Here is a 14,448-nt window from a genome sequence, read left to right as displayed (position 1 = left end):
CCAACACACACACGTGTAGGGTGTAAATACCCAGTGGGGCCTGCCACAGCGGTACCTGTAATGGTAGCAGAGCGGCTGTGTGTGCTCCAGGCCTCCCAGAAGAACTCTCTGCCAAGGGAGGCGTGGAGGTGGAATGTTCCTGCACTGGGACATGGCAGGGATGGTGGGGACCAACCTGAACCCTTCCCCAGGGCTCTGTGCCCTAGGCAGTAGGGCCTGTTCAGACCGTTGCACCCCTTGCCTCCTTCAGTCGTGCCCTAGGGCCTTTAGTTACTTGGGTTGATTTTCCAATCCAAGGAGCAAACAGCCACAAAGCTTTCTGCATGAGCTGGCTCTAAGACCATCACCGGAGGCAGTGGGAAGCTGCTGTCCTGGGGGCCAGGGGCCCTGTGTGACTCTGGACAGACACTTTCCCCAGCCTCAGCGTCCCCAGTCTCAACCTAAACATGAGGCAAAATAACCCCGAGAGTGATTCCCAGCTCTAAAATTCTCCTTCCGTTGCAAATGTAGAAATTGGTTATTGTCACAAACTACCAAAAGCGAATATAATGAATCTTTGAATCTCCACTCACAATTTAGCTAATAATCATTGATTGATATCCTATCAAATATTTCCCCGAAGCTGCTAAGAAACAGTAAAACAATTACTCAGAAACTTCACTCGTTCACACAGCCAACATTCACTGAGGGGCCAGTGCTGTGGTGGGTGCTAGGATGCCCAGAGGAAAGTCACGGTGCTGGGCCCCCAAGAAGCGGAAAGGACGGTGAATAGACAGGAACAGTGTAGGGAGATGAGCTTTAGGAGAAGCAGACAGCGACCAGGGAGCCGAGGCGGAATCCTGGCTTGCGTGGGGCGGTGGGCTCATGGGTGAGGCTTTCCAGAAGCAGCACCGTGTGAGCCACGTTTCTAAGCCTGAGTATTGGTCATGAGGGCAACGAGGAGCCTGGGATGGGTTTGGAGCAGGCGCCCATGTGAAGCAGGGTTTAGTTTTAGAATATCACTGGCTGTGGGGGTAGAAGCTGAGAGGCAGGCTTGACAGTCCCTGGCGGGGGGAGGTGAAGGCTGTTGCACTACTTACGATGAATCCAGGTGAGAAACGGATGGATTTCAGAGATATGAAAGAGGTTGACCAGATTGGTTTGTGTCACCGATTGGGTGTAATAGGCAAGATAGACAAGAGAAAGTGACCTTGGGGACAACCTTGTCCAGCTCTCACTGTAGAGAGCAGGAGACCAGGCTCTGGAAGATGCATGCCCTGTGCACACAGCGAGTGAGTAGAGGGGCCAGGACAGGGCTCAGGTCTCCAGACACCCAATCAGCCCTCTTAGCCCTCCTTGCTTTGCAGCACAGTTGTGTGTCCCTCCTGGGACATTGTCTCATCAAGTGAATCAAGGAGCCCGGCGAGGGGTTGAGGTCAGGAGATAGGAAGGCAAGCCTGATTCTGAGGGAAAAGGAGCCCCTGGCCATGATTTTGTTCTTGGAAGCCCATAAACGTCATGTTCTTGCTTGTCAGGCCCCAGGCTCTCCCATCCCTGTGGCACTGGGACAGAGTGCACTGTATGGGGCAACTCATTCTGACAGGCTCCTCCAGCATGGAAAAGCTCAATAGTTTGCACTAGAACCTGGCTCCCTGTGGGCAGGGAGTTCAGGGATGCTGTTTTCGCTGTTGTGCTACCGCTGGTGCTGCTGGTGCTGCTCTTATTTGGTTCCTTCCTCTAGCACCAGTGCCTAAAGCAGAGCATGGGTAGCCAAAGCTTTTCTATTAAGAGGGAGGCCGGCCGGGCACAGTGGCTCACACCTGTAATCCCAGCACTTTGGGAGACCTAGGTGGGCAGACCACTTGAGGTCAGGAGTTCGAGACCAGCCTGGCCAACATGGTGAAACCCCATCTCTGCTAAAAATACAAAAATTAACTGGGTATGGTGGTGCATGCCTGTAATCCCAGTTACTCAGGAGGCTGAGGCACAAGAATCTCTTGAACCAGGCAGGCAGAGGTTGCAGTGAGCCAAGATCGCACCATTGCACTCTGGCCTGGGTGACAGAGCAAGACTCCGTCTCAAAAAAAAGAGGGAGGCCAAGCCATTTTTTTTCACGTGACTTTTAATGCTGTGTATTACCTTCTTCATCAGTGCTCTTTGATTGACTGAGGGCTTTCTAATTCTGGTGCTTTCAGCTATAAAATGGGCATTGTGTGGCTGTGGCAGTTTGTGGTGCCATGAAGGTGATGTGACCTGATGTGTGGGTGTGTGTATGTGTGTGCATGCGTGCATGTGTGTGGGGGTGTGTGTGTGTGCATCTGTGTGTTCCTGGTGCACACGGGCCTCCCTCACTGACCCCCTCTGCCATGCAGGTCTGAGTACAGTGGCTCCCCCGATTCACCAAGGACCTGCGGTGCCTACCGCCGTGATCCCCTTGCCTCCTGGGACCCATTTACTCTTTGCCCAGACTGGGAAGATTGAGCGCCTGCCCCTGGAGGGAAATACCATGAGGAAGACAGAAGCAAAGGCGTTCCTTCATGTCCCGGTGAGTGCTGGCTGATTATACCTGGTGACAGCTCCTGCTTCAGTGACCTGGAAAAACAAGCAGGACGATATCAGACCAGAACCCCAGGCTCAACCCCTGGAACCATGGGTGCTCATTCCATGTAGTCCTGGGTGACCATCTCTAGATGGGGCCACTGTATTGCTGAGCTGCTCGTGATCTTTCCATTCCCCTGCCAAATTCATAGTGATTCATCTTTCAGCAGCTGCTCAATTTAAGAGCCTCATATCTGCTCTGACGTAGCAACAAGCATTGGAGTTTTTAGAGGCTTTCAAAGCTTCAGAGATGCATTTTGTGATTTAGGGACTTCTTTTCCCATTAGATAGAGGTTGGGCAATTCAGAAAAGCCATTCGGTTTTATCTGATCCTGACCCCTGCCAAGAAACCAAACCTGAGACCTGCAGGCTTCCACTACAAGGCTGAGTCAGAATTGCTGGAGCAGTGGGAGGGGCTGTGAGGGTCCTATGAGGAGTGAAGGAGAGGGGAGGGTCTGAGATCATTGGCTCTTGTAAAAGAAAGTCTGGCAGAAAGCCCTATCATTCCTCACTGGAGGCACAAAGTCTACTTGAAGATTCTTGGTAAAGATGCTACTTGGGCCATCTTGCCTGCCACAGGACCAACCTCCAGCTTTTCTTCTCTTCCTCCTTTCTCTACCCATTGTGTTTTCTTCTTTTTCTATTTACTCTTCCTGAATTGATCTCCACTTCATAGATGCCACACACAGCCACATCCCTTCTTTGGGACCAGGGAGGAAACATCAGCAAAAAAGTATCCAAAATAAAAATACTTTTCAAAAGCCTCTTGCAAAGAAGTCTTTATGAGATTCATGTCCTTTTCCTGCACAAAGCTCTCAAATGGGTTGCCTCTTCACTCAGAATAAAATCCAGTCCTTTTTATGGCCCTCAAAGCCCTATAGGATCTGGCCTCTGGCTCCCTCTCCCACCCTGTTCCCTACCACTCTCACCTCACTTACCAACTTCAACCCTCTGGCCCTCTGGCTGGTCCTGGAACACACCAGGCACATTTCTGTCTCAGGGCCTTTGCACTTGCAGTTCCCCCTGCCTGACAATTGCACAGTTCACTGCCTCACTTCATGCAAATTTCTGCCAAAACATCATCTCTCAGAGAGGCCTGTCCTGATCCCCCTGTCCAGACAGCAGCCACCACTGCTCTCTAGCTCTTTATGCTGCTTTGTATTTCATCAGCGCTCTTGGCACTATGTGATGCATTAAATACCCATATTTGTGTTGTGTATCTGACATGTATCTTCCTATTAAAATATCAGCACCACAAGACAGGAACTGTTCATTTGTTTCATGGAGGTATTGGTTTCATGTGGTATTTCTAGACCCAAAACTGCTTGGCATATAGGAAGCACTCAAAAAAATATTTGCTGAACAAATGCATGCATGATCATTGTATTCATCTATTGCCTTGCTGAAAATGTAAACCTTGAAGATCATCTGTGTCATTTCCATCTCCAGCACATGCTCTCAGGTAATAGGAATGGGTTAAATTCCCTGTGAAAGACATTCTTTCCCAAGACCAAGGGGAGAGGCTAAATGTCATGTGAGGCAATAAAAAGCAGATAATTTACAGCCTGGGCAACATGGAGAAACCCCATCTCTACTAAAAATACAAAAATTATCTGCACATGGTGGTGCGTTCCTGTAATCCCAGCTACTTGGGAGCCTGAGGCACAAGAATTGCTTGAACCTGGGAGGCAGAGGTTGCAGTGAGCTGAGATCCTGGGCAACAGAATGAGACTCTTGTCTCAAAAAAAAAAAAAAAAAAAAAAGCAGATAATTTAAGTGGGCTAGGTGGTGGAAGGGGGAATGCTGAAACAACGGGATAAACATTCACCATCTTTTAAAAACCTGTTGAAAGTGGTATTAAGAATATAAACAATGTTATGCAACTATCACCTCCATTCATCTCCAGAACTTTTTCATCATCCCAAACTGAAGCTATTAAACAATACCTCCCCATTCTCCCTCCACCCATGTCCTAGCCCCTGGCAGCCACGATTCTACTTACTGCCCTTATACTTTTGACTTTTCTAGGTACCTCCTAGAAGCAGAATCATACAGTATTTGTCATTCGTGTCTGGCATATTTCACTTAGCATAATGTCCTCAGGTTCATCCACATTGTAGCATGTGTCATAATTTCCTTCTTTCTTAAGGCTGAAATCCCATTGTACGGATCTGCCGTATTTTGTGTATTTATTCATCTATCAGCAGTTGCTTCCACCTTCTGGCTTTTGCAAATAATGCTGCTATGAACATGGGTATACAAATATCTGTTCGAGTCCCTGCTTTAACTTCTTTTCGATACATATACCAAAGTGGAATTGCTGGATCATACAGTAATTCTATATTTAATTTTTTGAGGAACAACCATACTGTTTTCCACAGTGGTTGTACCATTTTACCTACTCACCAGCAGAGCACAGGGGTTTAAACTCCTCCATATCCTTACCAAAACTTGTTGGCTGTTTTTGTTTTTTAATGATAGCCATTGTAACGGGTGTGAAGTGGTTTTGATTTGCATTTTCCTAATAATTTATGACACTGAACATCTTTTCACGTACTTATTGGCCGCTTGTATATCTTCTTTGGAGAAATGTCTACTTAAATCCTTTTGCCTATTTTTTGATCAGTTCTTTTGTTGTTGTTGAGTTGTGGGAATTCTTTATATATTCTGGATATTAACTCTTTAAAAGATACATGATTCGCAATATTTTCTCCCATTCCATGGGTTGTCTTTTCACTCTCTTGATTGTGTCCTATGATGCACAGACATTTTTAATTTTGATGTAGTCCAATTTACCTTTTTTTTTCTTTTGTTGCCTGTGCTTTTGGTATCATATCCAAGAAATTGTCGCCAAATCCAATGTCATGAGGCTTTCTCCCTGGTTTTCTTCTAAGAGTTTGATAAGTTTGCTCTTACATTTAGGTCTTTGATTCATTTGAGTTAATTTTTGTATGTGGTGTGAGGTAAGGGTCACTGTCCTTTTTGACTTGACCCCTTGAGGAGGAAGTATGTGCTCATCCTCCTGATTTTCCCAGTAAAAGATCATCCTGGTCCACCACTTCCTTGGTCCTGAGACCCTCCCTCCTGAGACCTTCCCTGGCTTCGTAATGCCTAGTACTGTGTCCACGACCAAGAACCCACTCCCAGGGTTTCTTGTACCTGAACAATTCAGTGTTTCAATAGTTTCCAGGCTATTGACAGAATCTAACCTCACCACATGCTGAGATCATACAGCCCGGCAGCTTCTTCCTGAGCCTCTCATGGGCAGCATCTAAAGAAAGGAACTCCTCACTGTCTGATCAAGGGAAAAGTTTGTGCTTCTGTTTTGTTTTTAAGTTTTTATTTTGAAGTAATCAGAGCCACAGGAAGTTGGAAAGGTATACAGAGAGGTCCTGTGTACCTTTCACCTGGTTTCTCCCAATGGCTAAATTTTACATAAGTATGAATTCCTATAGTTTTAAAATATTTTAATTTGCAAAAGATCTCGACAAGGCTTTGCCAAATCAACCTATGGGCAGATGGCTTGTTTTGAGGTGGTTGCTTTAGAGAAGTTAAGCAACTCAGTGTTCTTTCTAGGTTGGAGTTTTGTCTATGTATCACCATAGTTCGTCATACATAATGAGCACCTAATAAATACTCATTAATGAGTTACTGGCAGGTAATTGATTTGCCTTGTCTGAGGAGAGGCTGGCTTACTCAGAGCTAACTCTCAGTGGCTTTTCAAACCAAACAATAGCCCAGTAGATTTTCATGAAACTCAAATCACATGTAAAATGTTACTCAACTTTGCTTCCTCTGGTCCTTTTCTGTCTCACTTTTGTAAGAACTAATGTGTGGAAAAGGACTCTGGGCGTGTTTGCTGAAGGAAATGTTTTCTTTCCTTAAAGCCATGGAGGGCCAGAGAAGTTGATGAGCATGTTTGCTGAAGGAAATGTTCTCTTTCCTTAATACCACGGAAGGCCAGAGAAGTTGATAGGCATGGGATGCCGTGAAGGAGGTACCCACAGTTGAGGCCTGAGCATTTGGTTGTGATGGTTTAAGAGAGTGAATATCTTAAAAGTGCACAGCCTTGTCTGGGCGCACTGGCTTACGTCTGTAATCTCAGGACTTTGGGAGGCCCAGGCGGCTGGATCAGTTGAGCTCAGGAGTTCGAGACCAGCCTGGGCAACATAGTGAGACGCTGTCTCTACAAAAAAATAGAAAAATTAACTAGGTGTGCTGGCACATGTCTGTAGTCCCAGCTACAATTTAAATGTAAATTGTTTACATTTAACCTTATTTATCCCTTCATTTATTTGGGTCTTTTATAGTTTCATGCTGCAATGTTTTATAGTATTCATTGTGGAATCCTGCATATTTAAAAATGTTTATCCTTATATATTTTCTGGTTTTTTTTTTTGATGCTGTCACAATTATTAAGGTTTATTTTCTATATTTTGCTAGTATATAGAAAAATAATTTTATATTGACTTTGTATCTTGCATCCTTGCTAGATTCACTTTTGATTATAGCAGTTTTATAGATTCCCCATGACTTTCTACATAAATAACCATATTATCTTAGAATAGAGTAATTTTACTTCTTCAATATGTATGCCTTTTATTTCTTTTTCTTTATCACCTTCAAGTAGGCAAAGATTTCTTAGTATTCAAAAAGCATTAGCCATAAAGGGAAAAAATAATAAATTAGACTTACTAAACATCAAAAACTTTTGCTCTTCCAAACACTATTAAGAAAATGAAAGAGCAAACTACATACTGAGAAGAAATAATGGGTGGGTGCAGTGGCTGGTGCTGGTAATCCCAGCACTTTGGGAGGCTGAGTCAGATGGCTTGCTTGAGCCAGGAGTTTAAGACCAGAGTGGGCAAGACAGTGAGACTCTGTTGCCACAAAAAATTTTAAGAAATGAGCTAGGCATGGTGGCACATGCCTGTAGTCCCAGCTACTTGAGAGTCTGAGGGCGAGGATCACTCGAGTTCAGGAGGTTGAGGCTGCAGTGAGCAGTAATCACGCCACTACACTCCAGCCTGGGCAACAGAGACCCTGTCTCAAAAAATACATATTTATGCATATATATACACACACACACACACACACACACACACACAAATTCCTATACATATAGATGTGCATATATGTGTATATGACAGGAGTTTTTTCTGAAATATACGAACAACTCCTACAACTCAATAATAAAAATTTTTAAATGAACAAAACACTTGACACTTCATTACAAAAGATATCCAAATGCCTGTAGGCACGCAAAAAGATTCTCACTATCAGATGCTTGTAGATGGACCATTCTAACCACTGGTCTTCACATCCAGGCTAAAGTCATCATTGGACTGGCCTTTGACTGCGTGGACAAGATGGTTTACTGGACGGACATCACTGAGCCTTCCATTGGGAGAGCTAGTCTACATGGTGGAGAGCCAACCACCATCATTAGACAAGGTAAGTAAGCAAATATCATTTTTCCTTTTTGGTTTTGCTTCTAGCAGCCAAAGTGGCCATGTATGCCAGAGAAGAACAGCAAATGAAGCCAAACTTTCACAAACATTTCTCAGTCTTTTGTTGCATTACTACGATAAAGTGTGTAAAGTTTAGGCACGTTCTACTTTTTTTTTTCTTTTTTTTTTTGAGACAGAGTCTCACTCTGTCACCCAGGCTGGAGTGCAGTGGCGTGATCTTGGCTCACTGCAAGCTCTGCCTCCTGGGTTCACGCCATTCTCCTGCCTCAGCCTCTCGAGTAGCTGGGACTAAAGTCGCCCGCCACCATGCCTGGCTAATTTTTTGTATTTTTTTTTAGTAGAGACAGGGTTTCACCGTGTTAGCCAGAATGGTCTCTATCTCCTGACCTCGTGATCCGCCCACCTCGGCCTCCCAAAGTGCTGGGATTACAGGTGTGAGCCACGGCGCCCGGCAGGCACAATCTACTTTTCAGTGTTCAACCTCAATTCCTCAATTGAGGAAATTCCTCATTAAGGATGCCAATTTCAACCAATGACTCTGTGCTTTGTTTTTCATGCCTACCTTCAACAAATCAAGACTGTTTTACATGGGTATGATTTATCTAGTTGAAAGACCATTACAACAAAAATCCAAAGGCCTCTAAAAATTCCACTGTGCTGAAATGGTCAAGTATTACATGTTGCTTAATTCAGCGACTCATCAACTGACTTGGGAATATTTTTGCTCCTATGGCATTGTCATGCTGATGATATTTGTTCTGTGGAGTCACCTTGCGTTCTCTGCAAAATATTCACATCAAAGATACATCTTTAAAATAGAGCAGCCTCATTTTGTATTTCTTTTTACTTGGCACTGAATGTAGTTTTTTCTATTTTCAATGGAATGTTTCCCTCACAATTGATATTCTAGAAGATTTCCTGTGCCTGTGGAACAACTCCCGAAGCATTTTTTCCCTTCTTTGTTGCCTTCAGTAAAGATGATGCGGCAGGAATGAAGCTGAGGTTGAATTAACTATGTCTGGCTTTGGACATAGACCCTGAACCCTTTTCTGGAAGCCAACAGGCTATTTAAATCATGTCTTCCAGTTTTCATGCTTTGGTTTAGTGAAAAACAGTTTGAAAATGCCTATCTCCGTGTGTTAAAAATGTTATTGTTATTATCTATGATTTCATTTTAAAACCCAGTGGAAGAGGGGAATAGGTCATTGTTTGCTATTTCCTGTTGCTTTTGGAGCTCATAACCATCCAAGAACGCTGTAAGCACAGTAAGAAGCATTCCAAGCAAAAGCCTAGTTACTGTGAAAACACAGAATTAAACCAAAATGTGATCTTTGTAGAAGAAAGATCACTGGGAATAATTTTCTTTTTTTTTTTTTTAAGAGAGAAAGAAGCTTCCAGTTATCTCCTTAGCATGGTACAGGTTGGTGCTTCCCTAGTGAGTGAGAGTGACAGTTAGGTATCATTTTCATTTCTTCCTTATTTCATAACAGCCCGGATCCCAGGCTTTCTTTCTTTCCTTGAGTTACAGACCCAACCAAGTATCTCTAAAAAGTATCATATCTTTGAGGTAAGCAGTAAGGAATACTTCTTCCTCGGACTGCACATTGAAGGATAAGATTATCCAGACCTTTCCCTTGGAAGAGTAGCTCATAAAGAAGTATTTTGAGTTGAGGGAGAGGGGGTTGGTTGCTCTTGGGTTTGAGATCGGGACCAAGGCTGGTTCTAAGGAGACAATATGCACGGAGCTCATGGAGCTTCCTCCAGGTGCCTCGCAAAGATGCTCTCACAGAGCAGCCTATATTCTCTGTTTTATTTGCGTATATCTGAGTGGCTCTTGTCTCTCACACAGGATGTGCTCATTCCAAATATACTCCAGAATGACTTATTCTGTTTCTATCTGAAAGCCAGAAGGGACCTTTGGAGGTCAGTCTCACTGTCCCTGTTCATCTAGGGACATGGGAAATATTTTAATATTTTAAAAATCTCTACTTTGTGTTTAGATAATAAAGATCTTGTTCAAGTGGGGTTTCTAATTCTCAATAAACTTCCTCTGGCGGGCTTTCTTTCTGGGGGCTCTGATGTGTCCAGCATCCAAGGTCACCATCATATTAGGGCTCTGGCGAAGGCTAATGCAAAGGGGGCTGAGGGTCTGCACTGCTTGTATGTCCACAGAAGAACACAGTATTGGAGCCAGGTGTGGTGGCTCATGCCTGTAATCCCAACACTTTGGGAGGCCAAGGCGGGGGATCACTTGAGGTCAGGAGTTTGAGACCAGCCTGGCCAACATGGTGAAACCCTGTCTCTACTAAAAATACAAAAATTAGCCGGGCATGGTGGCACGCACCTGTAATCCCAGCTACTCGGGAGGCTGAGGCAAAAGAATCATTTGAACTCAGGAGGTGGAGGTTTGCAGTGAGCTGAGATGGCACCACTGCACTCCAGCCTGAGCAACAGAATGAGACTCTGTCAAAAACAAAACAAAACAAAAAAACCCACAGTATTGGAATGGTTGCCTCATACCCCAGATCCCTCAGGTAGGGTAGCCCCTTCTCCTTCCTGCTTATACTCCAGTCATACTAAATGACCTTCATTCCTTTAATCAGTAGAAGGGAAAGAGTCCTAAGTGATATCAATAAAACACAATCGTTATTATTAATTTAAAAAAACTATATAATAAAACACCAATGTAATCTTCAGCTTCCAGTAAAGTTAGATGGGTGCTGAGGGTTTGCAGTGAAGGTTCATGTTACCCAGTGGCAACTCCTGGCTTGAAAATCAGTTGCTATAACCCAGTAAAGACTGGGGTGTTATTTGTAATCACTGACACCCCTTCTTTGTACCCCTTATACTTGTATGAAAGTAATAGCAGCTATGGTTTCTTGAAAGTATTATTTCAATGACCTTTATCCCCGATAGCTAATGAACAAGATAGAACTATTTTTCCATTCCCTATCTTAAGATCTTCCACTGCCTCCCCTCTGCCTAAGTTCTAAGTTCATTAACATGGCCTCCTACCTTCATCTCTGACCACTCCCCCACCCTCATAGTCTCCAGCCACATACAATGACATCCTGTTCACTTTAAGCCACCATCCAGCCTTCCTTTATACCTATGTGCCAGTCTCGCTACCTAAAAAGCCCTCATCCAGGATCCTTGTTTGACAAACTGCTATTGGTCCTTCAGGTGCCAGCTTCAAGCAATGTCACCTCCCCCAGGAACCCCTCCCTGTTCTCCCCAGGCTGGGGTTCCTCCTCCAGGCTCCCATAGGACCTGGAACTCAGTCTCAACTGTGGTTGGCTGTGGGCTCATGGAAAACTGGGCCTCGGCTTAGTCATTGTTACTGTCCTGGTTCCCAACGTGCAGCATGATGGATACCCACAGAGTGAGTAAATGGCATTTTTGAATTTGTCACTTTGAGTGTTGTTTATCTTATAAACAACAAGCATTTCACATTCCCATTTGGTTTCTTAAAGTGCAGGGATTGGACACCATGTGAAATAACATTGAGTATTCAGAAAAACCTCATCTCAGCTGCTTAGAAAACAAAAAAAATTAGAGGAGCTCTGTGTTTACTTCTAGATCTTGGAAGTCCAGAAGGTATCGCTGTTGATCACCTTGGCCGCAACATCTTCTGGACAGACTCTAACCTGGATCGAATAGAAGTGGCGAAGCTGGACGGCACGCAGCGCCGGGTGCTCTTTGAGACTGACTTGGTGAATCCCAGAGGCATTGTAACGGATTCCGTGAGAGGGTATCTTTGTGTAAATATGTGTGTGCATCTCTTTGATTTGCATCTGCCCTTTTAGAGATTCTCAGATGTGAGGCTTTAACTCCAGCATTGGTCTCCTGAAATTAATGAGTACGGGACGAAAGAGTCTACAGTTTTGGTGACTTGTAGATATCCACGGTACAATGCCAGAACATGTATTACAGTGTGGACTTGATACCATGTCCCACTTTCAAATCTTTTGCCAGGAGACTTTACAAGTTGGCATGCTCAGAAATTGGATATTTTCCATATGGCTTCAATGTGGATCAACACTCAGGTTATATCAACTCCAGAAGAGTAGCAGGGCGGCATAAATGGACTGCTGAGGCTGCTTTCAGGGGCAGACCCAGACTGAACACCCTGGAGATCCCTTCCTGTGTGTTTCTTCGGCACATCCATGCTTTCTCTTCCTTCTTACTGCAAGCTCTACCTCTTACACAACAGGCTCTTAGTTCCTCGACACTGATTCCTTCCCTTTGAGACCACATCTCCTATTCTGTGGCCACTCAGCCTCCTCCTTGAAGGCAGGTACTTTGACCACAGCCCCTGCCAACATCTGCTTCTTGTCCTAGTCTGGTCCCCTGGGTCTGCTGTGCTCTCCTCCATGTGGGCCTCATGCAGGGAATTCCATATATTTATGCCAGTTATAGCCCTTTACTTTGTTTTCTTTTGCTAACAGCTTCATTGAGATATTATATGTCAGTTATGTTAAAGGGAACCAAATTTGTTAGTAACAGAATCACCAAACTCAAATGAGGAACCAAATTCAAGTATCTTTGCAAAAGAAAATGTGTTTTATCACCTCTCGATCCTTTCAGTCATTCTGTTTTCATGTCTGCCAATCACTTCATTGTAATTCTTTTCAAGTGTTTTTCATAAACTTTTTCTCATGCATCCTTATTATTTCTTTTCCTCTTTCCCCCCTTTTTCCTCCTCCAGGAACCTTTACTGGACAGACTGGAACAGAGATAACCCCAAGATTGAAACTTCCTACATGGACGGCACGAACCGGAGGATCCTTGTGCAGGATGACCTGGGCTTGCCCAATGGACTGACCTTCGATGCGTTCTCATCTCAGCTCTGCTGGGTGGATGCAGGTGATGGAAAGCTGGACACTGTCCAGGGCGGGTCTCAATCTCCTAAGTCAGGGGTGGGCAAACTAGGGCCCTGGGGTCAAATCTAACCAGCCACCTGTTTTTATATAACCCAGAAGCTATGAATGGTTTTTACGGTTTTATCTGGTACATTAAATATATACTGGTACAAAATTGTATAGATACCTGCATACTGTCCTTGGTTTTGCCTCCTGGCCTGCAAAACCTGAAATAATTTACTATCTGGTGCTTTAAGAAAAAGTTGGCCACCCTCGTGTTGTAAGTGGCACTGCACAGAGCCTGGAGTCACCCTGATACCGATAAGCAATTCACAACTTACATTAGTCTGCCCTGGCTCGTGCCTCCCCAGCAGAAGCAACACGGGAGGAAGAGACAACTTGCCAGTTTTTAAGAGCAAGCCTCATGTGTTCTCTGGGACTTGTCATTGTAATGCTTAATTTCTCCCACTCTTGCCCTCATTACTCTTGTTTTTTTTGCACAAAGGGGCCATTTCTTGTGTGAACAATGAATGAATTGTTTCCACTCCACACAGGCACCAATCGGGCGGAATGCCTGAACCCCAGTCAGCCCAGCAGACGCAAGGCTCTCGAAGGGCTCCAGTATCCTTTTGCTGTGACGAGCTACGGGAAGAATCTGTATTTCACAGACTGGAAGATGTACGTCAGCTGTAGCCATGGGGGCTGCGTGGGCCTGCCCCTCCACCCACTGTCTCTGGGAGGCCAGGCCCTTCCCATCTGGCCTCTTGGCTTGACTTTTGAGCCTCCAGAAATGCCCCCTCTAGAGATGTCCCCTCTCCCTTATCCTTCTGGTTGTCAGGAGCCAAGAGAGGAGCATGAAGAAGGAGGGAGGACAAGGCCCTAGGGGACAGGAGGTGCCATTTATCATCCAGATGCTCCTGACTGTGTGGTTTCAAGTCTTTAAACCTGGACTTCCTCAGCACGTCTGTTCTTTCCCCAGGAGTTGGCCCAGGGTCACGTGGCCGGTGGGCTCCATGTCCACTTCATGTCCCTGCTTCATTATAGTTGTTAAACTGCAATATTCCCACGGCCTCTTCCTGACTACCCCTTCCTGCAAAAGGAGGGATTAAACTGAGAAGACAACTGGCCAGGGGCATCTGTCTAGAAAGCTCATTTCCTGCCTGGGATCTAGAGTGGGAGGGGAGAGCTAACTGGTCTTTACCCTTTTGTAAAAAGCCAGAGAAATGCAGGCTTGACCCACCCCAGGGGAAGGAAGGGATGTCTAGGAAGAAGGCCATCATGTCTGTTTATGGCCTCCAGTTTATCCTCAAAATGACAAAGAGGCTGCCTTGTTTAGATACAAGTTCAAGCCATCAGATGTGTTTTCACCTTCTGCCCTTTGGTGCTTTGTAGGAATTCCGTGGTTGCTCTCGATCTTGCAATTTCCAAGGAGACGGATGCTTTCCAACCCCACAAGCAGACCCGGCTGTATGGCATCACCACGGCCCTGTCTCAGTGTCCGCAAGGTAACTCTCCTGTGCTGTTACTGTTGGCATACT

General features: G+C 44.9%; 1 protein-coding gene across 1 annotated transcript in view, besides 1 other annotated feature; it reads left to right on the top strand.

Moving 5' to 3' along the window:
* Positions 1-14,448, top strand: part of NID1 (nidogen 1) — an 89,261-nt gene that overhangs the window by 71,681 nt on the left and 3,132 nt on the right. The window contains exons 14-19 of the mRNA NM_002508.3: positions 2,352-2,524; positions 7,905-8,031; positions 11,628-11,799; positions 12,757-12,914; positions 13,465-13,588; positions 14,303-14,415. Coding sequence (NP_002499.2) covers positions 2,352-2,524; positions 7,905-8,031; positions 11,628-11,799; positions 12,757-12,914; positions 13,465-13,588; positions 14,303-14,415 — 867 coding nt within the window. The remainder of the gene's footprint in view (positions 1-2,351; positions 2,525-7,904; positions 8,032-11,627; positions 11,800-12,756; positions 12,915-13,464; positions 13,589-14,302; positions 14,416-14,448) is intronic.
* Positions 11,135-11,335: a silencer, noted in NCBI's record as "peak782 fragment used in MPRA reporter construct". NCBI's record gives its function as "represses an SCP1 promoter by STARR-seq MPRAs in K562 erythroleukemia cells {active_cell/tissue: K562}" and the evidence as "EXISTENCE:reporter gene assay evidence [ECO:0000049][PMID:32103011]".

This window comes from Homo sapiens, chromosome 1, assembly GCF_000001405.40.
Source record: "Homo sapiens chromosome 1, GRCh38.p14 Primary Assembly".
Taxonomy (NCBI): domain Eukaryota; kingdom Metazoa; phylum Chordata; class Mammalia; order Primates; family Hominidae; genus Homo; species Homo sapiens.
This window is presented reverse-complemented; position numbering and strand designations above follow the sequence as displayed.